The 23,103-nt window shown below is 37.4% G+C and overlaps 1 long non-coding RNA gene across 1 annotated transcript, besides 1 other annotated feature; it reads left to right on the forward strand.

Annotated features, from left to right (window-relative positions):
- The first annotated feature begins 5,099 nt into the window (after positions 1-5,099).
- CH17-125A10.2 (extensin) lies at positions 5,100-20,853 on the forward strand. The gene is made up of 3 exons (XR_007067018.1): positions 5,100-6,968; positions 18,124-18,242; positions 20,374-20,853. It is a non-coding gene; the product is annotated as an extensin (long non-coding RNA).
- Positions 6,835-7,129: a silencer, noted in NCBI's record as "tiled region #1883 duplicate 2; K562 Repressive non-DNase unmatched - State 22:ReprW". NCBI's record gives its function as "represses a minimal TATA promoter and a strong SV40 promoter by Sharpr-MPRA in K562 cells {active_cell/tissue: K562}" and the evidence as "EXISTENCE:reporter gene assay evidence [ECO:0000049][PMID:27701403]".
- Positions 20,854-23,103: the final 2,250 nt, after the last annotated feature.

Below are 23,103 nucleotides of genomic sequence, written 5' to 3' on the forward strand. Positions count from 1 at the left end.
TGCTAGAGGCTTCCTCATTTGATTGACTTCCACCTCCCACCGCCCTTGCAAAGAACCAACTTTGGATTTCGTTGAATTTTTTTCCTTTACTGTTTTTGTTTAAATATTACTGATTTAGTCTGTTTTTCTTATGCCTGATTTGAGTTTATTTGGTTCTTTTTTTACTTAAAGTAAATGCTTACATTATTGATTTGATGCTTCATTTCTCATAATTTAGTGCCATAAATTGCCCTGTAAGCACATATTTTGATAAGATGATGTCATATTTATTAAGTTCAAACTGTTTTCCAATTTGTCTTAAGATACTCTCTTTGACCTATGGGCCATTTAGAAGTATGCCATTTAACTTCTCATATTTGGGGATGTTCTAGAAATGTTCTAGATTCCTAGTTTAATTCTGTCATCAGAGAAAATAATTCACTGAATTTTAATTGTTTAACTTTAGGGTTTGTTTTATGACCCAGAATATGATCTCTCACCACCACCATCCAGATAATTCTTCAGGTTTTGACGTTTCCCAACCTGTCTGCTGGTTACTTTTCAGAGTACTTGGGTCATTGCTATTTATATTTTGTCCAGAGTTTCAAATTGTGATCAGTGGAAATGACAGGCCGTAGCATGCATACGCCATCCTGGCCAGCATCACAGGCGGTCAGCATATCTTTCTGTTGTTGTTTTGAGACAGGGTCTCACTCTATTGCCCAGGCTGGAGCACAGTGGCATGATCAGGGATCACTGCATTCTCAACCTGCTAGGCTCAAGTGATCCTCCCACCTCAGCCTCCCGAATAGCTGGGTCTATAGGTGTGCTGCCATGCCCAGCTAATTTTTGTATTTTTTATAAAGACGTGATTTTGCCTTGTTGCCCAGGCTGGTCTCAAACTCCTGAGCTCAGGCCATCCTCTCACTCGGGCCTCCCAAAATACTAGGATTACAGGCATGACCACCACACCTGGCCAGTACATCTTAAAAATAATTGCTGATCCACGTTGAATAATGATGGCCTGTAAATATTTTCTCTTGCACTTGCCTTGTTGGGTTTTGATATCAAGGTTATTTTTATTTTAACCTTGTAAAATGAACTCGGGAGTCTTCTTTTTTTATTCTCTGTGTTGGTGGCAGAGTTTTTTTTGTTGTTGTTGTTTGGTTGGTTGGTTTGTTTCTCTTGTATGTTTCATGAAACTTTTTGGTGAAGGCACTTGGGCCTGGAAATTTCTTTATGGGAAGTTTTTTCATTACTGATTCAATATATTTAATCTATGTAAGTTTTTTTTCTACTTTTTGAGTCAATTTTGATTTTTTTTCCTAGAAATTCATATCTCACCAAGTATGGTGGCTTATGCTTGTAATCCCAGCACTTTGGGAGGCTCAGGTGGGAGGACCACTTGACTACAGTAGTTCAAGACCAGCCTGGCCAATATAGTGAGACTCCATCTCTACAAAAAAAATAAAAATTAGCTTGGTGTGGTGGTGGGTGCCTGTAGTGTGAGCTACTTGGGATGCTGAGGTGGGAGGATCATTTGAGCCTGGAAGATCGAGACTGCAGTGAGCTGTGATTGTGCCTTCTTCCTTCCCCCTCCTCCTCCTTTTTACTTTTCTTCCTCTTCCTTTCTCTTCTTCTTTCTCTCCTTCATTATCCCTTTCGCTGTTTCTCTTTCTCCCTTTCTCTTTTTTCTTTTCTTTCAATTTTCTCAATTACTAAGAGATGTTTAAGTACCCTCAGCGTGTTAGTAGATACGGTTATTTCTCCCTTTAGTTCTCTTTTGAGATTTATAGTCACTCAAATAAAGAGATAACCCAAACATAAGCGTCACAAACAGGCTTTCATACCATTCTTAATTTGGTCCTGTAATTCTTCATTGCTGTATTAATTTTCTGATGCTTTTAAGGATGTTTTATAACAAATTGTGTAGCTTTTTCCAATGGAATGTTTATTCTGAATTATCTAATTCATATTGTAAGTATAGAGGGAGTTTAATATAAAATTATTAAACTAATATTTGTGAAAGAATGTATTTGTGCATTTAACAAATATGTTAATCCTCAGACTGTTATTGGGCAGCTCAGCATACAGGAATAAAAATAACACAATTTTTATGTGTACAATATTTATGGAATACGTTACTGGACCCAATAAATAATTTAGTTAATAACATGACAAAGAACAGAAATTGTATACACCATAGAGCATAGTAATGGAATAATGAATGATTAAAGTTATTAATATTAGGTAGAAAGTGAAGGGTATCTTTGAGAGCAGAATTCAAGGAAGCAAGCAATTCGCCTTATCAGGAAAGAGTTACCTGTGGATAAAGGAGAAACTGAAAAATTTACAAGTCAAGACTTTTTGAGCAAAAACAAAAATATGACTATTAGTCACCAATTCAGTACAGTGAAAAAAATGTTGAAGAGATATCTTGGAAGTAAACCATGTTGTGGAAGAGCATGTAGGGTTTTGATAATCATGGGATGATTCTGAATTAATTTTAAATGCGATAGGAATATATGAGATAATTTCACCAGAGAATAATATGATTGTGTTTGCATTTCAAAGGGGTGTATCTGGTGCACTGTGTAGAATAAATAGGTTATGTGAGCAAATAAATTGGGAGGCTACTCTAATCCAGCGAAAAAAGGTAGTGACCTAGGTGAGAATGCTGTCAGCATGAGTGGTAGTAGTGGTGAGAAGTCGTTAGGCCATGGATGTATTTCATAGGACTGGCCAAGAGAACTGCAGGTAAATTGGAGTGTAGGGAGTGAAATAGAGAACTCAAAGATGACTCTCAGCAATGGAAGGTGACAGCTGTCACTGAAGCATGCTGATGCCTCTTATTAAGAGAGTTACTTGGGAATGGCAAGATCAAAACTTCTCACTTTCAAATTTATGAAAAATATTGTTTTCAGAACGAGTGACTTTGGGATCAGAAAGCCACCATTCTAATTGATGGTTCCACGACTACACGGGCTCACACTCGCAAGAGCAAAAGTAAATCATCACAAAGGTGCTTCTTGATAATTCTAGAGAATGGAGAATTACTGTAACATCTTTCTGATTTTAGGAGAGGTAGCAGTTCCCTTTTTAGCCTAAACGCTATTTCTTTTTAAAGCTCAGCCAAGAGACTCCATTATAATTTTCAAATGTGTGTAACTTAAATTCTCATATGAAATACCACTATGCTTAAATTAGTCAAAACATTTTCCCCATCTACAACTCTATCTTGTCATTGTAATCATTTTCACAAAAGTGACTGCAGCTCTCAGACCCTAAAAAGAGAAAATCCAGGGTAGTTTATCTGATCTAGTTAGTTTCGAAGACAGGATCTAGAGATTATTTAATACGAAATGGGTCACCTGAAATGAAGTGTTTGCTGAAAACAGCTTGGATCAGCCCAGTTTTCTACCACTGAACCATGCATTTGGTTTAAAAAACACAACAACTCTGCGGAATATCGGCTGCTTCCAACTGTGTTGAAGGTGTTAAAGAAAAGAGCATAAAATTAAAAATGATCATCTGAGGCCTTTATAGTCTCTGCTCAAGAGACTAGAGTTTTCCATTCTTAACGAAACACCCAAATATCTTAATAATTGGGCAAAATCTAAATATCAGAGATAATTTTATCTTGAAGATTGTTAAATTATAACGGTGATTCACTAGCTTGCCACGTCTCTGAGTCAAAAATTAGGTCTTTGTTTAGGAATCAATCATAATCTGCAATTTGGAAATAGGAAGATTTTAGAAGACTCAGACATTGACTTTCTTGTGTGCAAAAAAAAAGACGTATTGAGATAAGACAAGTCTTTCCTTGCAAGGATACCTCTAATGCTCATACACCACCTCCCCTAACATTAATAGAGCTTCCAGGTCACTAACCAGTGTCAGAGAGCAGCCCACGCAACCAGAAATTCAAAAGATGTCGAACATAGGGTCAAGCTTAGAATAAGACGTCTTAGCTAATTAAGTATGCTTTTTTCCCGAAATTCATATTAACAAAATCTTGGATATGTCAGAGAATGCATTCTAAGTTCACTCAACCTAGGAGGGAGAAACATAATTTTAAATTAAGAGCTGAAGCATTCTTGTCCTAACACAAAGCAAGGAAAACGAAATATCACACCACAGGAGGGATTTCACAAATTTGCGTCAACATCAAAACCTTAAAATAGGCAAGGAGAATGCAGATTCACAATGAACTCTTGTACTTGTTTTGTTCAGAGAAGAGACGGTTCTGAGAGAATGACAGTGAACTAACCCCAGCTGGGTTTAGTTGGTGCTTTCAACTACTGCTTCTGATCAACTCCTTTAGCTAGAATAAATTGATGAGGATTTTGGCCTGTGGTATTAGAGATGGTTATTAATTTTTTCCTCTTATTTGCATTGTTCAATATAGTAAATACTAGCTGTATATGGCTACTTCAATTCAAATTAATTACAATGAAATATACTTAAATATTGAATTTCTTAGTCACTCTTGGTTCATTATTGAATATCTTCAGCTAAGATTTCCCAACTAAAGACACTAAGAGGTGGCTTAGTTAACCGGTCATCCACAAATATTGAAGCTGCTGTTAACTCCTGATATATTCTCTGCAAGGAGAATACTCATAAGCCTCCTCCTGAAATCAGCAGCCTAGAGATAGTTTTATAAACTGGATACAAGTTGGAAATCTATATACTCTTTAAGTGTTTGAAATATTAGCTTTCCAGGGAAGAAAATCAAATTCATAAGATATGCTAGGACAATTTAACTCAAGATGTTCAAAACTGAAATGACATATTCTACAACATGTGATAAAACCACCCCCTAACAACTTAAAGCAAAACAGGGATGGACCTTAAAGACCTGCCTTTTCCTCATCCCCCAGCCAATCAGTTTTCAAATCTTGCATTTTATTTTGAAAGGTCCCTATCCCCCTGGTCTCTTGTTTCTAGACTTGGCACATATTTAAGTTTGTTACCTCTCTCTACTGACTTTTCTCTCTTCAAACAGTATCTATGCCTGCCAAATGTGAACGTACAAGAAACAAATCAGAATGTGCCATTCTGATTTAAACTGCTTATTAGTTAATACCCTCAAGATAACATCTGGGTTCTTAGCTTCAATGAGTCAAGCCTACTTACATCTTTTTGTCTTTGGCTGCACATTTCCTATCACATCGCACTCCAGCGATGCCAAGCTGTGCCGGCCTTCCACTCCATCTCCATTATTTCACCCTCCGCCGCCGCCGCGGCTTTTTGCCCCCCCGCCGCCGCGGCTTATTCCCCCCATCCCGCCTAGGCTTTTTGCCCGCCGTGGCTTCCCCGCCCCCCGCCGCGGCTTTTTGCCCGCCGCGCCTTTTTGTCCCCGCCGCCGCGACTTTTTGCCCGCAGCGGCTTTCTGCCCCTCTGCCGCCGCGGCTTTTTGCCCCCACCTTGCCTCGGCTTTCTGCCCGCCGCGGCTTTCTGCCCCCACCCGTCGCTGCGGCTTTTTGCGCCCCCGCCGCGGTGGCTTTTTGCCCCACCGCCGCCGCGGCTTTTTGCCCGCCGCGGCTTTGTGCCCCCCCGGCGCCAGGGCTTTTAGTCCGCCCCGGCTTTTTGACCCCTCGCCGTTGCGAATTTTGTCGCCGCGGCTTTTTGCCTGCCCCCCGCCGCTGCGGCTTTTTGCCCCCCGCCGCCTTTTGCACCCCGCCGCTTTTTGCCCCCTCGCCGCCGCGGCTTTTTCCCGCCGTGGATTTTTCCCCCCTGCCCCCGCGACTTTTCACCCGCCGCGGCTTTTTGCCCCCACCCCGCCTCGGCTTTTTGCCCGCCGCGGCTTTTTAGCCCCCACCGCCGCGGCTTTTTGTCCCCTGCCGCCGCGACTTTTTGCCCCCACCCCGCCTCGGCTTTTTGCCCGCCGCGGCTTTTTAGCCCCCGCCGCCGCGGCTTTTTGTCCCCACCCCGCCTCGGCTTGTTGCCCGCCACGGCTTTTTACCCCCCGCCGCCGCAGCTTTTTGCCCGCCGCGGCTTTTTGCCCCCACCCTGCCTCGGCTTTTTGCCCGCCGCGGCTTTTTGCCCCCCGCCGCTTTTCGCACCCCGCCGCCGCGGCTTTTTCGCCGCCGTGGCTTTTCCCCCCTGCCCCCGCGGCCTTTTACCCGCCGCAGCTTTTTGCCCCCCGCCGCCGCGGCTTTTTGCCCCCACCCCGCCTCGGCTTCTTGCCCACCGCGGCTTTATACCCCGCGCCGCCGCGGCTTTTTGCCCGCCGCGGCTTTCTGCCACACACCCGCCGCCGCGGCTTTTTGCCCCTCTGCCGCCGCGGCTTTTTGCCCCACCGCCGACACAGCTTTTTGCACACTCGCCGCCTTGGCTTTTTGCCGCCGCGGCTTTCTGCCCCCTCGCTGCCGCGGCTTTTTGCCCCTCCGCCACCGCCGCTGCTTTTTGCCCCACCGCCGCCGTGGCTTTTTGCCCGCCGCGGCTTTTTGCCATCGCGGCTTTTTACTCGCCACGGCCTTTTACCCGCCGCGGCTTTTTGCGCCCCGCTGTCACGGCTTTTTGTCCCCCTGCCACAGCGACTTTTTCGCCGCCGCGGCGTTTTGCCCCCGCCGCCGAGGATTTTTGTCCCCGCCGCCACGGCTCTGAGGGCGGGAGCGGCAGACTCGGCTGCCAGCTCTACTGGCGTCCTGGCAAGGGCAGCGCTGAGGGGTGCTCCTGGTCCAGCTCTCCTGGCTCAGGGATTCCTTGCCTAGGCGCCGGCGCCCCAGGCTCCTTGCCTAGGCCCCTGTGGCCTGCATAGAGTGGCGCTGCCTGTGGAGGCGATGGGAGAGAAGAAGGAGGGCGGTGGTGGGGGTGATGCGGCGGCCACGGAGGGTGGCACAGGGGCTGCGGCCAGCCGGGCGCTGCAGCAGTGCGGGCAGCTCCAGAAGCTCATCGTCATCTTCATTGGCAGCCTGTGCGGGCTGTGCACCAAGTGCGCTGTGTCCAACGACCTCACCCAGCAGGAGATACAGACCCCGGAGGTAAGGGGTTCGGGGACCCGGGCTGGGCTCCAGGAGCGGCCCGGACACCTCCTTCGGGGCCCCAGTTCACTCCTGGCCGAGTTGCATCTTTGAGCCCACGTCACCCCCTTGGAGGCTTCCCCTCCCTCCTGCACTCGCTGATGCGGCAGCCAGAGGACCCAGGACCAGCCCTCACCTTGGGCAGGATTTGTGGAGCGGGTGCGTGGTGGGAACTGGGATGGAGGCTCCAGGGTCCCGTGGGGGTGGGGGTGGGCTGCGTGAGGACATCCCCTTACCCCCTGAATTTCCATCTGGTCCAGCCCTCTCATCTTGTAGGTGAGGAAACCGAAGGCCTGAGGGAGAAATGACTTGCCAGGAACCCCTGTTAAGGAAAATTAACAAAGTGTGGTTATTAAAGAAGAACTGAGTTGGGAGTCAGACCTGGAGGCCCGCACCCGTGGTTAAGACATTATACCACCTTGAGTCTGGCCTGTTGACTGAGGGTGAGCCACTCCATCCTCATGTGATTGTGGGGTCTTAACCTCAAGGGGTTTCCTGCAGGAAGAAGCAAATGGGTTTGCTTTCCTAGCTCTGTCCAGTACGTTAGGGACCCTGAGGACTGAAGAGATTCTTGGAGAGCCATCTGGTGTATGTCATGGGTGGGTCTTTTTGGAAGGTCAGTCTGCCCAGTGGGCTGGCTCAGCCCAAATGAACTGTCTTGAATCTTTGGAGTTGTCTGTGTACTTTTAAGGGCTTCTCAGCCTTGCACCAAAAGATCCCCCTGGAAATTAGGTGGGAAAAACCTTAACTTTTGTGGGGCCTTGTGTTTGTCTTAAAAGTTCATGCACATAGCCAGGTGTGGTGGCTCCCACCTGTTATCCTTTCCTGGATCCCTTGAGTCAAGGAGTTTGAGACCAACCTGGACAATATAGTGAGACCCCATCTCTACAAAAAATAAAATATTAGCCAGGGGTGGTTGTGCGCATCTGTAGTCCCAGCTACTACTGTGGCTGAGGCGGGAGGAGCACTTGATCCTGCACTGAGCTCTGATCTCACCAGTGTACTCCAGCCTGGGCCACAGAGCAAGACCGTGACTCAAAAAAAAAAAAAAAAAAAAAAGACAAGAAAAATTCTTCAAGATTTTGCATTCTGTCCCACTACCCATTGGTTTTCATGTCAAGATAATGTCAGAAATTCTTTACAATTGCTTCCAGAAGGAGTAGCCTTTTGATCTGGTGCACAGGTGTCCAGTCTTTTGGCTTCTCAGGGCCACATTGGAAGAAGAATGCTCCTGGGCCGCACATAAAATACACTAATGCTAACAACAGCTGATGGGGTTAAAAAAAAAAAAGTTTTGTGCATAATTTTCATGCTACCCACCACCACAGATAGGTGGAAAAGTCCTTGTAGGCAAAGGGTTGGACACGGCTGATCTAGTGTCTTGTCGTCCGTTTTGGCTTTCTCCCTGATTCCAGAATGCAGGTAGAGATGTAGAGACATGCTCTCAGGACAGCTGTTGAGATAAAAAAATTCGTTGTCATTTATTCCCAAGCACAGCTGTTTCTCATTGCATTGAAAAAGTCTCCATTCAAACTGCTGTCACATATAAAATCTATTTATGTAAGTCTGTATTTTTCTGTTGTCTTGGCCTTTGTAGGCAGTAGTGTGTTTTAACCGAGCAAACTGTCCTTCCAAATAATGAAGCCGAAGTCAGCCTACCTACTTGCCATTTTTCTTCCCCTTCCATTTTTGTAACCTCAGAATAATTGTAAGAATGAATTAAGATTTGTGTTTAAGGCCAGGCACAGTGTCTCAGGCCTGCAATCTCAGCACTTTGGGAGGCGGAGACGGTTGTATCGCTTGAGCTCAGGAGTTGAAGACCAGCCTGGGCAACATACTGAGACTCCGTCTTGTATAATTTAATTAAAATTGAAAAAAAGAAGAGAAAAAGACCTGTGTTTAAAATTTAAAAAAAGGGGGGGAAAGTGTAATGCAAAATGTGGACTATGCCAGCTATGATTGGGAAAACTAGTTTTTCATACAGCATTATCTGTAGACTTGTATTAGCAGCATACTGGTCATAAGCGTTTTGCTTTCCTCAAATATGATGAGGCAAGCTAATTTAAAGTGTGTTGGGGCTTTCTGCCGCGTGGCTCCTGGAGGTGTTGAGTCCCAATTTAGCCAATTAATTTAGGTTTAGTTTTGACGTGGATAAGGGAGACCAGCTTCATTCATGGTGTACACACAGTTTTGCGAATAAGGAAAAAATAAAAAGCCACCTGAATGTTCCTACTCATTAGATGCTATCTGGAGAGCTCCTACCCCACCCTCACCAAGGCCCGGGCCATTAAAAAGACTCAATGCAGCCTTTCTGTATCTCATACTGTATTCTGCAAGATACTCCTCTGAAAGAAAGTTGTGCTGCATCAGCCATCTCCCTCCTGAAGATCCCTGCGGATGAAGATTTCTGTTTTGAAAGTTCTGAGAATTCCTGCAACAACAATTCTCAAACTTATTTGTCCATGGGATCTTCTCTTCCACTGAATGTAGTTGGGGAGACACAGCCTTAAGCCTTGAGCAGAGAAAGAGACAAGAAACTGTCGGCTCACTTACAACCAAGTGTTGTGTTTATGTTTTAGGTTTTTATGAAACTGAGGTGCTGTTTGAGGTTTTAAATGAAATTGGGTGGTTGAGGAGAGGCTGCTATCCCTGTAGACTTAGCCAGCCATGAGAAGTTGCCTTTTGTTGAAGGAGGTGTTTTAGAAAGGGAAATAGGGTGTCTCCTGGGCATCGCATTAGCAATTAAATACATGTATCACTGAAATGAAATGATATGATGAAATGATGAAATGAAATGATGAAATGATGAAATGAAACGAAATGATGAAATGGAGAAATGAAATAATGAGATGAAATGATGATGAAATGAAATGAAATGATGAAATGGAATGATGAAAAATGAAATGATGACATAAAATGGTGAAATGAAATGAAATGAAATAATGAAGTGAAATGAAATGAAATGATGAAATGATGAAATGAAATGAAAAGATGAAATGATGAATTGAGGAAATGTATGAAATGATGAAATGAAATGAAATGAAGTGAATGATGAAATGACGAAAAAATGAAATTAAATGATGAATTGATGAAATGAAATGATGAGATGAAAAGGTGAAAAGAAACGAAATGATTAAATGAAATGAGACGAAAAGATGAAATGAAATGATGAGATGAAATGAAATGATGTGATGAAATGATGAGATGAAGTGAAATGATGAAATGAAATGATGAGATGAAATGAAATAATGCAATGAAAGAAGATATGATGAGATGAAGTGAAATGATGAAATGATGAAATGTGATGAAATGGAATGATGAAATGAAATGATGAAATGAAATTGTGAAATGAAATGAGGAAATGAAATGGAATGATGAAATGAAATGAAAAGATCAAACGGTGAAGTGAAGAAATGATATGAAATGATGAAATGAAATGAAATGAGGAAATGAAGTTAAATGATTAAATGATGAAATAATGAAATGAAATGAAATGATGAAATGATGAATTGATGAAATGATCAAATGAAATGACGAGATGAAAAGATGAAATGAAATGATGAAATGTAATGACGAGATGAAAAGATGAAATGAGATGAAATCATGAGATGAAATGAAATCATGAGATGATGAAATGATGAGATGAAGTGAAATGATGAAATGATGAGATGAAATGAAATATTGAGATGAAATGATGAAATGAAATGAAAGAATGAAATGAAATGATGAACTGTGATGAAATGAAATCATGAGATGAAATGATGAAATGATGAGATGAAGTGAAATGATGAAATGATGAAATGTAATGAAATGATGAAATGGAATGATGAAATGAAATGATGAAATGAAATGGTGAAATGAAATGAGGAAATGAAATGAAATGATGAAATGAAATGAAGTGAAATGATGAAATGATGAAATGATGAAATGAAATGAGAAGATCAAATGGTGAAATGAAGAAATGATATGAAATGATGAAATGAAATGAAGTGATGAAATGAAGTTAAATGATTAAATGATGAAATAATGAAATGAAATGATGAAATGATGAATTGATGAAATGATCAAATGAAATGAGATGAAAAGATGAGATGAAATGAAATGATGAAATGACGAGATGAAAAGATGAAATGAGATGAAATGAGATGAAATGAAATCGTGAGATGATGAAATGATGAGATGAAGTGAAATGATGAAATGATGAAATGTGATGAAATGGAATGATGAAATGATGAAATGAAATTGTTAAATGAAATGAGGAAATGAAATGGAATGATGAAATGAAATGAAAAGATCAAACGGTGAAGTGAAGAAATGATATGAAATGATGAAATGAAATGAAATGAGGAAATGAAGTTAAATGATTAAATGATGAAATAATGAAATGAAATGAAATGATGAAATGATGAATTGATGAAATGATCAAATGAAATGAGATGAAAAGATGAAATGAAATGATGAAATGTAATGACGAGATGAAAAGATGAAATGAGATGAAATCATGAGATGAAATGAAATCATGAGATGATGAAATGATGAGATGAAGTGAAATGATGAAATGATGAGATGAAATGAAATATTGAGATGAAATGATGAAATGAAATGAAAGAATGAAAAATGATGAACTGAGATGAAATGAAATCATGAGATGAAATGATGAAATGATGAGATGAAGTGAAATGATGAAATGATGAAATGTAATGAAATGATGAAATGGAATGATGAAATGAAATGATGAAATGAAATGGTGAAATGAAATGAGGAAATGAAATGAAATGATGAAATGAAATGAAGTGAAATGATGAAATGATGAAATGATGAAATGAAATGAGAAGATCAAATGGTGAAATGAAGAAATGATATGAAATGATGAAATGAAGTGATGAAATGAAGTTAAATGATTAAATGATGAAATAATGAAATGAAATGATGAAATGATGAATTGATGAAATGATCAAATGAAATGAGATGAAAAGATGAGATGAAATGAAATGATGAAATGACGAGATGAAAAGATGAAATGAGATGAAATGAGATGAAATGAAATCGTGAGATGATGAAATGATGAGATGAAGTGAAATGATGAAATGATGAAATGTGATGAAATGGAATGATGAAATGATGAAATGAAATTGTTAAATGAAATGAGGAAATGAAATGGAATGATGAAATGAAATGAAAAGATCAAACGGTGAAGTGAAGAAATGATATGAAATGATGAAATGAAATGAAATGAGGAAATGAAGTTAAATGATTAAATGATGAAATAATGAAATGAAATGAAATGATGAAATGATGAATTGATGAAATGATCAAATGAAATGACGAGATGAAAAGATGAAATGAAATGATGAAATGTAATGACGAGATGAAAAGATGAAATGAGATGAAATCATGAGATGAAATGAAATCATGAGATGATGAAATGATGAGATGAAGTGAAATGATGAAATGATGAGATGAAATGAAATGATGAAATGAAATGAAATGTTGAGATGAAATGATGAAATGAAATGAAAGAAGTGAAATGTTGAAATGAGATGAAATGAAATCATGAGATGAAATGATGAAATGATGAGATGAAGTGAAATGATGAAATGATGAAATGTAATGAAATGATGAAATGGAATGATGAAATGAAATGATGAAATGAAATGGTGAAATGAAATGAGGAAATGAAATGATGAAATGAAATGAAGTGAAATGATGAAATGATGAAATGAAATGAGAAGATCAAATGGTGAAATGAAGAAATGATATGAAATGATGAAATGAAATGAAGTGATGAAATGAAGTTAAATGATTAAATGATGAAATAATGAAATGAAATGATGAAATGATGAATTGATGAAATGATCAAATGAAATGAGATGAAAAGATGAGATGAAATGAAATGATGAAATGAAATGACGAGATGAAAAGATGAAACGAGATGAAATGAGATGAAATCGTGAGATGATGAAATGATGAGATGAAGTGAAATGATGAAATGATGGAATGACAAAATGCAACAATGAGAAGAAATTATGAAATGAAATAATGAAATGAAAGGATGAAATGATGAGATGAAATGATGAAAGGATGAAATGAAATGATGAAATGAGGAAATGAAAAGATGAAATGAAATGAATAAGTGAAATGATGAAATGATTGAATGAAAACATGAAATGATGAAATGATATGAAATGATGACATGAAGTCAAATGATGCAATGATGAAATAAATGAAATGAAATGATGAACTGAAATGAGATGAAATGATGAAATGATGAGATGAAAAGATGAAATGAAATGATGAGATGAAATGAAATGAGATGAAATGAAATGAGATGAAATGAAATCATGAGATGAAAAGATGAAATGAGATACAGTGAAATGACGAAATGAAATGTTGAGATGAAGTGATGAAATGAAATGATGAAATGAAACAATGAAATGAAGTGAAATGAAATGAGATGAAATGATGAGATGAAATGATGAATTGATGAAATGAAATGAGATGAAAAGATGAAATGAAATGATGAAATGATGAGATGAAAAGATGAAATGATGAGATGAAATGAAATGGTGAGATGAAATGAAATGGTGAGATGAAATGAAATGAGATGAAATGATGAGATGAAGTGAAATGATGAAATGAAATGTTGAGATGAAATGATGAAATGAAATGAAAGAATGAAATGAAATGATAAAATGAGATGAAATGATAAGATGAAATGATGAAATGGAAGGATGAAATGAAATGATGAAATGAGGAAATGAGATGAAATGATGAAATGATGAAATGAAAGGATGAAATGAGGAAATGAGATGAAATGATGAAATGATGAAATGAAAGGATGAAATGAGGAAATGAGATGAAATGATGAAATGAAAGGATGAAATGAGGAAATGAAATGAAATGATGAAAAGAAATGAACTAATGAAATGAAATGATGTAATAGATGAACCAAAAATTCTTATTCACTTTTTTTCTGGGCATCTTTCTAAGAGTATTTTAGTGAGGTTAATTTCTAAATATAAATTGCTATTCAATGGCTATACAGTTGGCCTTTGCACCACAGGGGTTTGAACTGTGCACGTCCACTTAGCAAAACCAACAATTCTACATCCTTATCCACATCCTGCCCATGAGAAAGATGAGGATGAAGACCTGTTTGATCATCTACTTCCATTTAATAACTAGTAAATCTATTTTCCTTATGATTTTCTTTTTTCTTTTCTCTGGCATGTTTGTTAAGAATACGGTATATAAGACATATAACATTAAATATGTGTTAATTGACTGTGTTATTTGTCAGGCTTACAGTAGGCTATTAGTAGTTAAGTTTTGGGGGAGTCAAAGTTATAGTGGATTTTCTACCGTGCAGGGGGTCCAGCACCCCAACCTCCGTGTTGCTTAAGGGTCAACTGTACGTGTTATTTCCTTTCCTGTAAGAGAAAAATGATGAGAAGGTCTTTTCTCCAATAAGTGTCTTCAAAATGTAGCAGATTTGAAATGTGTTGGCGCCACCATTTTGCGTCTCACTTTGAAAACTTATTATTTAAAATCGTACTAAAGCCTACCTTACTTTTCCAACCTTAGAAAAAATGTTCCAAAGAAAAGGGGCGAAACCATGCTAGTTTGCCCTGAAATTTGAAATTACCTTTTAAAAATATATTTTGACATTAATTACTTCCAAACTAGAGATCAGTTGCATACAAATGGCAGGTCACCCTAATCCACCCTATGACTGCACTTAGATTCATGAGGGATTGTGCCATCTAGAAAGGGCAGAGAGGAGGAATAGAGTGCTCTGCGTCTTGAAATATAAACATGCACATAGCCACATGCTTTGATTCTGTTGTCACTGTGTACTTACTGCTAGGAAGAGGGCATGTTTGTGTATTTTTATGCTAATTATTATCCAAGTTGTTAATGATTTACGCTTTCAGAACCATATAAAGATTTTTTTCCTTTCAGATATAAACTATCTTGCATTGTTCTTCTGATCATATGAGGGATAAATTTGCCTAAATATTCTTCAGACCATAATAGTATGTCCATATAAATGCCAGTAGCAAGAGTACAATCAACCACAACTGCCTTAGTAATTATTTAAAGCATGTCTGCCTATAAGTAATTGGCATTTTATATAATCAAGAATCTTTGATATAATAATCTCTCAACTATTTGAAACACGGCTCACATGTATTAATTTTTTAAGCAAATATATATATAATATCAGTGTATATGAAACTGAATTTTGGACTTTAGAACAGCTTCTTAGAATCCTGACTTAAATGTCTACAGTAATAGTTGGCTTAAAAAAATTTAGCACACTGTCACTATGATGAAAAAAATTACTATAAAATATTTAAAAATTTTTTCCACCCTAACATTTAGAATATTCTCACATTTGTGGTTAAAACCTATTGTGATTGTTCTTAGAATTTAGATAAAAAATGTCCCAGAAAGATTGAAGAGAAGCACTTTAGTCAATTTTTAGTTGTTGAAGCATGAAGAAATGGCATTTCATTGACATTTTAAAAATTATTCAGATTCCCTCTTTGAATTCAAGAATTTCAAAGATATCTTATTTTAAAATACCAAAATAGGAATAGAATATGAAGGGCTGGTTATGAGTAATATGATACAATTTTATGAGATGATGAGATTACAATAACAATACCTCCTCTCATAGAATAGCCAGCAAGTCTCCACTAAATAACAGTGCCTTGATTTTATAGATGTTTCATCATGGATATTGAGTTAATGTGAACCATTTGTAGACACAGGAGTTTATTAAAGACTTATATAATATCTTTCAAGTATTTAGAATAGTGTTGAAATTAAGCCTGCATCCCCACGATTTTCAGCGGTGCTGATGCCTAATAAACTCAACCCCTTGCATGCCAAAATTGGCTTAAAGCCCATCTGTTACCCAAGCTACACTTCAAGCATCGAGGTTCAAAAATGTGATTTTGAATATGCAAGAGTTTGAGGAATTCACTACTCACACTTTCTTGAACAGTCTATCCAAGTGCATCAAGCAAAATGTGAGTAAAGAAATTTTGAGCAAAGGATTGATAGTAATGTTGAATACATTTAATAGTAGATCAAAGATTAAAAGGTGAAAGTGAGGGTGAGAAGAGTGTATGAATGCTTTGTGTTCTGACAAAGAGAATGTAGCACCCAGGTCCTACCTGCTTGGATGCATTGCCGGTGCCCACGGTAGGCCATTTTATCCAGGTTTTTAGGTATTGTCTTATTTTGTTTGTTTTTTTTCTTTTCAGGAGTGTTAGTCCAAGACCAATAACTCCGTAACTGGTAGATTTGGAAGACTTTAATAGTGCTTAACATTTTGTACATAGCTTTATAACAGTTTTCTTTTTCTTTTTTTCTGAGAGATTCTTTTCAATATGCCCCATCATGGTTGAACTCAAAAATCATTGTTTATTTAAAATCTACAACTGCTGACGTTTTGTAACGTTCGCATTCCAGGTAATTGCTTTTTTGTGCATTTTCTGTATTTTTCTCCATCAGTCTACCTAGATATTTGTTAGATTTAATATTTTAATATTTTTCTGAAAAAGTGAGCTTTTGCATTTTTAAATATATACCCAGTTGCTTTAATTCTGCTTTTTCGTGTACTATTTCCTCGTTTTTTTCTTTCTTGTTTTTTGGGTTTTTTTTTCTGACACGGAGTCTTGCTCTGTCGCCCAAGCTGGAGTGCAGTCGCGTGATCTCTACTCACTGCAACTTCCACCCCCCACGTTCAAGCAATTCTCCCACCTCAGCCTCCCGAGTAGCTGGGGTTACAGATGCATGCCACCATGCCAGGCTAATTTTTGTATATTTAGTAGAGAGTGGGTTTCACCATGTTAGACCAGGCTGGTCTCGAACTCCTGACCTCAGGTGACCCACCTGCCTCGGCCTCCCAAAGTGCTGGGATTACAGGCGTGAACAATGGCGCCTGGCTATCTCCTTCATTCTTTATGTTTATTTTACTGCTTTTATCTCTCTCTCTCTCACTGTTTCTCTCCTTCTCACATTCACTTTGCAGTTGTCAAATAGCCCAGGTGATTTTACAGATTTACTCCTTATAAAAGGAGGCATTACACATTACACATGTATCTTAGTGGCCTCACAAAAGTGTTTGGTTTATTTGTAGTGACTATTCACCTTTAAAATATTTCAATATTCAATAAAATGGCTTCCAACCAATATTATTACACTTATGTTTCTAACTTTCGTTTTTGTATTGATATCTGCCTTCATTGCTGTTTGTTTAGGACGTATATTCTGTGTCACGTTATTTCCGTGAAAATTGTTTGAATTTGTGGTATGGTCTAGAAAATGTTAATTTTTGTAAGTATTCTGTATGAACATGAAAATAACATGAATTATAATATTCAAGTTCCTTATATAATATTTGCCCGTTTTAAAATCCACTAGCTTCTTTTAAAACTTACTCTTTTAATTTTTTCTTTTATCTATTACTGAAAGACGTGTGTTTGAAATGTCTATAATATTTGGGGGCTTATCCATTTCTACTTACTTTCTGATATTTTTGCTTTATATAATTTGACTCTCTCTCTAAATACGTGTGTGTATGTGTGTGTGAGAGAGTGTGTGGTTTGTGTGTATATATATATGTATGTATCAGGCTAATACACATTTAAGTCATCACATCTTCTTAATAACTTAAAACTTTTATCACACTGGTTACACTAACTTATTTTAATAAATGTTTCTAACTTACATTCTATTTGGTCTACATAGCAACTTTTTAAAAAATTATATTCATGTAGTATGTTTGTATGTATATCATATATACACAGTATCTGTATTGTTTGAACTTCAAAGTTTCTGTAAATTTATATATTAGTTGTGTCTCTTGTAACTATGATAGAGACGGATGTTTTAAATTTTGCCAATCTTTGTATTTTAACAAAAACATTGTCTACTTAGGTTTAAGTTAATCTTTGATCATTTATACTTAATTTTGTATTAGTAATTTGTTGTGTATATATATATATATATATATATATATATATAAAATGTCTCATTTTCTCCTATCACTTTCTGTCTTCTTGTTTTAAAATTATGACTTTTATTTTTATTGTTTTCATAGATACAACAGAGAAATGCATAATGTCCAGTCAATTTATTAAAGTTCCAAAGTCGGTCGCGCGCAGTGGCTCACGCCTGTAATCTCAACACTTCGGGAGGCCGAGGCGTGTGGATCACGAGGTCAGGAGTTGGAGACTAGCCTGATCAACATGGTGAAACCCCGTCTCTACTAAAATACAAAAATTAGCCAGGCAGGGTGGCACGCGGCTGTAATCCCCGCTACTCAGGAGGCTGAGGCAGGAGAATTGCTTGAACCTGGGAGGCAGAGGTTGCAGTGAGCGGAGATGACGCCACCATACTCCAGCCTGGGAGAAAGGGTGAATGAGACTCCTTCTCAAAAAAAAAAAAAAAAAAAAAGAGTTGCAAAGTCATACCTTTCTGCTCTTGTCAGACAATTAAGGGGTCTTTGAATACTTCAGCCCTAATAATTTGCTTCCTAACATACATATTGCAGTGCTTATCTAATTTTAAATATTCTTTTGTTTCAACACCTAATTTTCTATTTTGATCTATCTTTATGTTTACAATATATTTTGCTCTGTGTTCATTCTTTGATTTCAGAACTTCAATCTTTCTGAAGCGTGTTTTCAGAGTTTCCTTTGAGTTTCTTTAGTGGAATTCTGCTGGTGGTGTTTTGTTTTTTGTCTCTAAATATGTGATTTAGCCATAGGTTGATGAATATTTTTCTTGGTTGAGGATTTCAGAATGGCATTATTATTCTTAACAAATAATATTGTTTATTTTACCTTTCATGCTTTCAGATTTCAATATGATTAAAGGTAATTTGATTTTTCTAGTGCTAATTGAAATATTTTTCCCTTCCTGATTGTTTACTATTTCTCTAGGAGATATGTAGATGTAGGTTTATCTCCATCGTAGCTTGCTTAGCATGCATAGAAGTTTTGAATATGTGGATTAGTGTCTTACAAAACTCTAGAGAACTTTCAGCCAAAATACCATCACATATTGTCCCTTCCCCGTTCCCTTCCTCTATGAGAACACTCACTAAACACATGCTACACTTTCTCACTGTATCTTCCATGTCTCTTCATGATTCTGTCCACATTGTGCCTTTTTTTAAATTTTCTGTAATGCATTCTGAAATATTTATGAGCTCTCACCATGGCCATGTCTAATCTGATGAGTTCATTTTTGAGTTTTTAATTTAAAATACTACATACAAACTACTTTTCAAATTTACTACATCAACTTTTTAGTCTCCTAAAAATATATTCCTTTTTTTAAATTTTTTGAAAGCAAATGTGCTTTATAATCTAACAGTGATATTTCTACTAATGAACCTCTGTGGATCTGTTTGTACTCTTTTTCTGCTTTCCTTTCAAATGGTGGAATATCATTTCCTTGCGTACTTAGATGCCTTTGAATGACAAAGATTTATTTTTCTCTGAAAATTATTATTGTGCACTTTTGCATATTAGTAAGAAGAAAATTTGCCAAAGAGAATTTGAATTTTTTGTGAGTCTACTAAAGGCACCACCATTCTGGGACCACATTATATTAATTCTTGGCCTAAAGGTGTTTGGACGTATGTTTGGACAGCACATTTAAACAATTTTTAAATTAATTGCTGTAAATCATTAATGATTGAGTTTCTTTAAATCTGTCCAATCTCAAGTCATTTTTATTTGCCATTTCCAGGGAATGTGAAATGAGACTAATTTACCTCTGATTCTTCTTTATACTGAGGAGATAAATTTTGGTGCTAGCTTTAGGGAAGAGCTCCTGTGTGATGCCCTATCTTGGGAAACACTATGTATTTCTTTACTGTCCTATGTGATGTATGACCATAGGAATCTGCACTCATTCATTTTGCTACATGTCCGTAGGGCAAAATCAGTATCAGTGTTTAGGTGTATTTTGTCTGCTCCCTGCATTCCCATGGTTTTGACCTTATCTTTTACTTTTTTTTGTGAACATACCAATGCTTCAATTTTTTTCCAGTAATATAATCAACTATACTATAAGAGAAAAATTTCGATAAAACACAAATTTCATGTTTTCCTACTCTAATTGGCTTTTACGTAAAAATACAGGTAAAATTTATTTGTGCTTTTTTGCTATTTCTGTTTTGCTATTTTCTGTTTGTCTATGTCTTCACCACATAGACACAATTAGGGAATGTTGTACACTCTTGTGCCAACTGCTTTGATAGTAACAAAATGTATTTCTCGAACTCCTAGGTATAAAACTCAAGTATCCACTATTTAAATTCTTTTTTGCTCACTTCTAGTATGTTTCCAGTCTCAATAGAAATCGATGCCAATCCAGAAATACAAGCATTATTCTAATACTTCTCACACATTACTGGTATGGATGACATTTTCTAGATCTCCTTAAATACTATCATTTTTCACTACTTGTATCTTAACTGTTAAGTTCAACATTTTCTGTAATATTAATATATTGTGAAAATTTCCTTTCTTTCTTATTTGTCCCAGGTTCAATGTTTTGCAGTCTCTACCTCACCCTGTGAAGCATAAACATTGTACATGCTGTACAAATAATACATCGTTCATGTACTTAGAGATTGCACAATTTTTATTTGGTTGACAATAGCTAATGTTTTCTTCTTCATTTTCTATTTCCTGATTTTTCTTTATTTAGTATATACTACACTGCCATAAAAATAAGAACGTTTTACAAACTAAAGCAAAAGGAACCCTAGGAATAAAATGCACAAATAAAATATATAAACATACGTTTAGATGTACCACGTACACTTGTAATTTATTTAGACTTTTAATTTTAGTACAATTTTAATTAAAGTCTGTGTATTATCTGTCATCGTCTTAGTATTTTTTATATAACAAATTGTGTAAATCAAAAAGTATCAATGTCATTGTAAACTATCTTGGCAGAGGTTGATCTCCAAGGAATAATTTCTCTCCTAAATTATGCCAATCCAAATTTCACTCTACCGTCATTCTTTTCATCAGTTTCAGAGGAATAATAAATTTCAAAATTGTTCAAGGTACTTCTTTTAGTTCAAGTAACATTTGACAGGTGTAAAACTGTAGACAGACTGATACAAACGTATTCTAATTGACTCAAAATTATATGGGACCTATTTTAAAATCTAGATTTTAAAATGTCGTGTCAACATACACATGTTCTCCTTGTGAAATAATTGTTTTTTATTCTCTGGATAGAATAATTTAATCTTTAAACCTTCCATTCACTCTTAGAAACAATATATTACATAAGGATATGCTTATAAAAATAATTCCCAACTAGCTTTTCAGTTCAGAAATATATGTGAAGAATCATCAAACATCTAATGGATTTCAAGGAGAAATGGGTTAGTAATTTATTCCATATGTCTCAATTTTTCCTAGACTCAAGGCTTCCTTTAAAATAATTGTAGGCATTTAAGAAACCATGCAAACTAAAAAGAAGAAACTGTGACGCTGCCGCTTAGGCTTTTTAAGTCTTTGGACATGATACAATATATTTTTTAAATTGTATCTTAATTAGACATTGTGAGTTCACCATCTTCCTGTCAATACAGCAACCAAGCTGATTATCATAGATTACAAGTTCAACTATCAACTGTGTTCTGAGAGTCTAAAAAAATAAATGAACGTATTTGTTTGGGTATTCTTAAAGCAGGAGTGAGGACACAGCGAAAGTGAGACAAGGAAAAGAGAACAAAATAAAACAGGAAAGACAGAAAAGCCAATACCACACGTGTTAAGAGGTAAGTTCCTGTGTTAGATATCTGGGCTTAATTTTATGGGAAGCTATGTGGAGCATGCCTCAGAATTACATCACTGAATCCAGGGAGATTCTTCTTAGTTACCCTCACCTTTTCTTCCCACTTCATGCCCAGTAACAAGCTCCCGTGCTGCTAGAGAAAGTCCTCAGCTAGAAACTGGTGCAAATTCTGGAGATGAGACCTTGTAGAGTGTTAAGAATGGTTTTCTTCCCAGCAGCTACAGCTAAGGAATAGGGGCTGGGCTATGAATACATCTGCTACAAACCAATAAAGCCCTTATGCTCCTTTTGGTGATCGACAATGTATTTAAAAATATTAGATGATCAAGAAGGGCTGCAGAAAGGAGGAAACAGAAACAAACAGCACACCTCTTGGTTTATTTTTTTTCATTTCATCAGTTTCAAGGAAAATATGTTGGGAGTTCCTGGCATAGAGAATGTCACAAAGACATGTTTTCAATAGTAGTGCTATCCCGAGGGCAGAGAAGACCCAGAGAAAGCCCAAGTGGCTGCTGGAACAAAATCAGACACCGTGCCACCTGTCCACACTCCTTGGCTCTGCCATCATGCTGAAGATCGCTTTAAAGGACTGGCTTCCCTCCCCCCAAAATTAAAAGAGCACAGACTGAGAAACTGAATGTGGGAGACAGCAGTGGATTATGCTGTTCTCAGGGGTCACCTCAGGTTTGGAAGCATTCTTTCAAATTAACCCATCTCAGGCCATCTGCAGAGAAGAAAGGTGGTACCTAACTTTTTTTCTTGTCGGCATTTGGTAGGGGTGTTTTATTGACCAAATATGTTCCCACAACCTAGTTTTTTGTGACTAACTAAATATAGTAGAGTTTTAAATTTTATCATCAAAATCTATAGACAATTTTTGATGAAAATAGACTCCATCTCTATGTCCTGCTTTTCTTCTTCTTATTAATTACATTGCTGTATAAAAGAACAAGACTTCAGCATCAAGAATATCTTGTCTCTTGGCATTGAATTTATACAAGGTGCTCTTTCTTTAATGCTGTCTCAAAGGACATATTTTTACTCATTAAAAAGGAAGATCGGAATCTAGTTGTATGCACTGCTCCAACATATTAATAATTAAAATTAGGAGGTAAATGTGGTCAAAGCTATAGAAAGACTGAGATGTCATTTATATGGATTACTCTATAGCACTCTACAAACAGAAATTGTTAAATAATAGTTTATATAAATATTTTGTAGCATTTCAAATATTTGAGTGCTTGAA

Source organism: Homo sapiens, chromosome 1 (genome assembly GCF_000001405.40).
Source record: "Homo sapiens chromosome 1, GRCh38.p14 Primary Assembly".
NCBI lineage: Eukaryota > Metazoa > Chordata > Mammalia > Primates > Hominidae > Homo > Homo sapiens.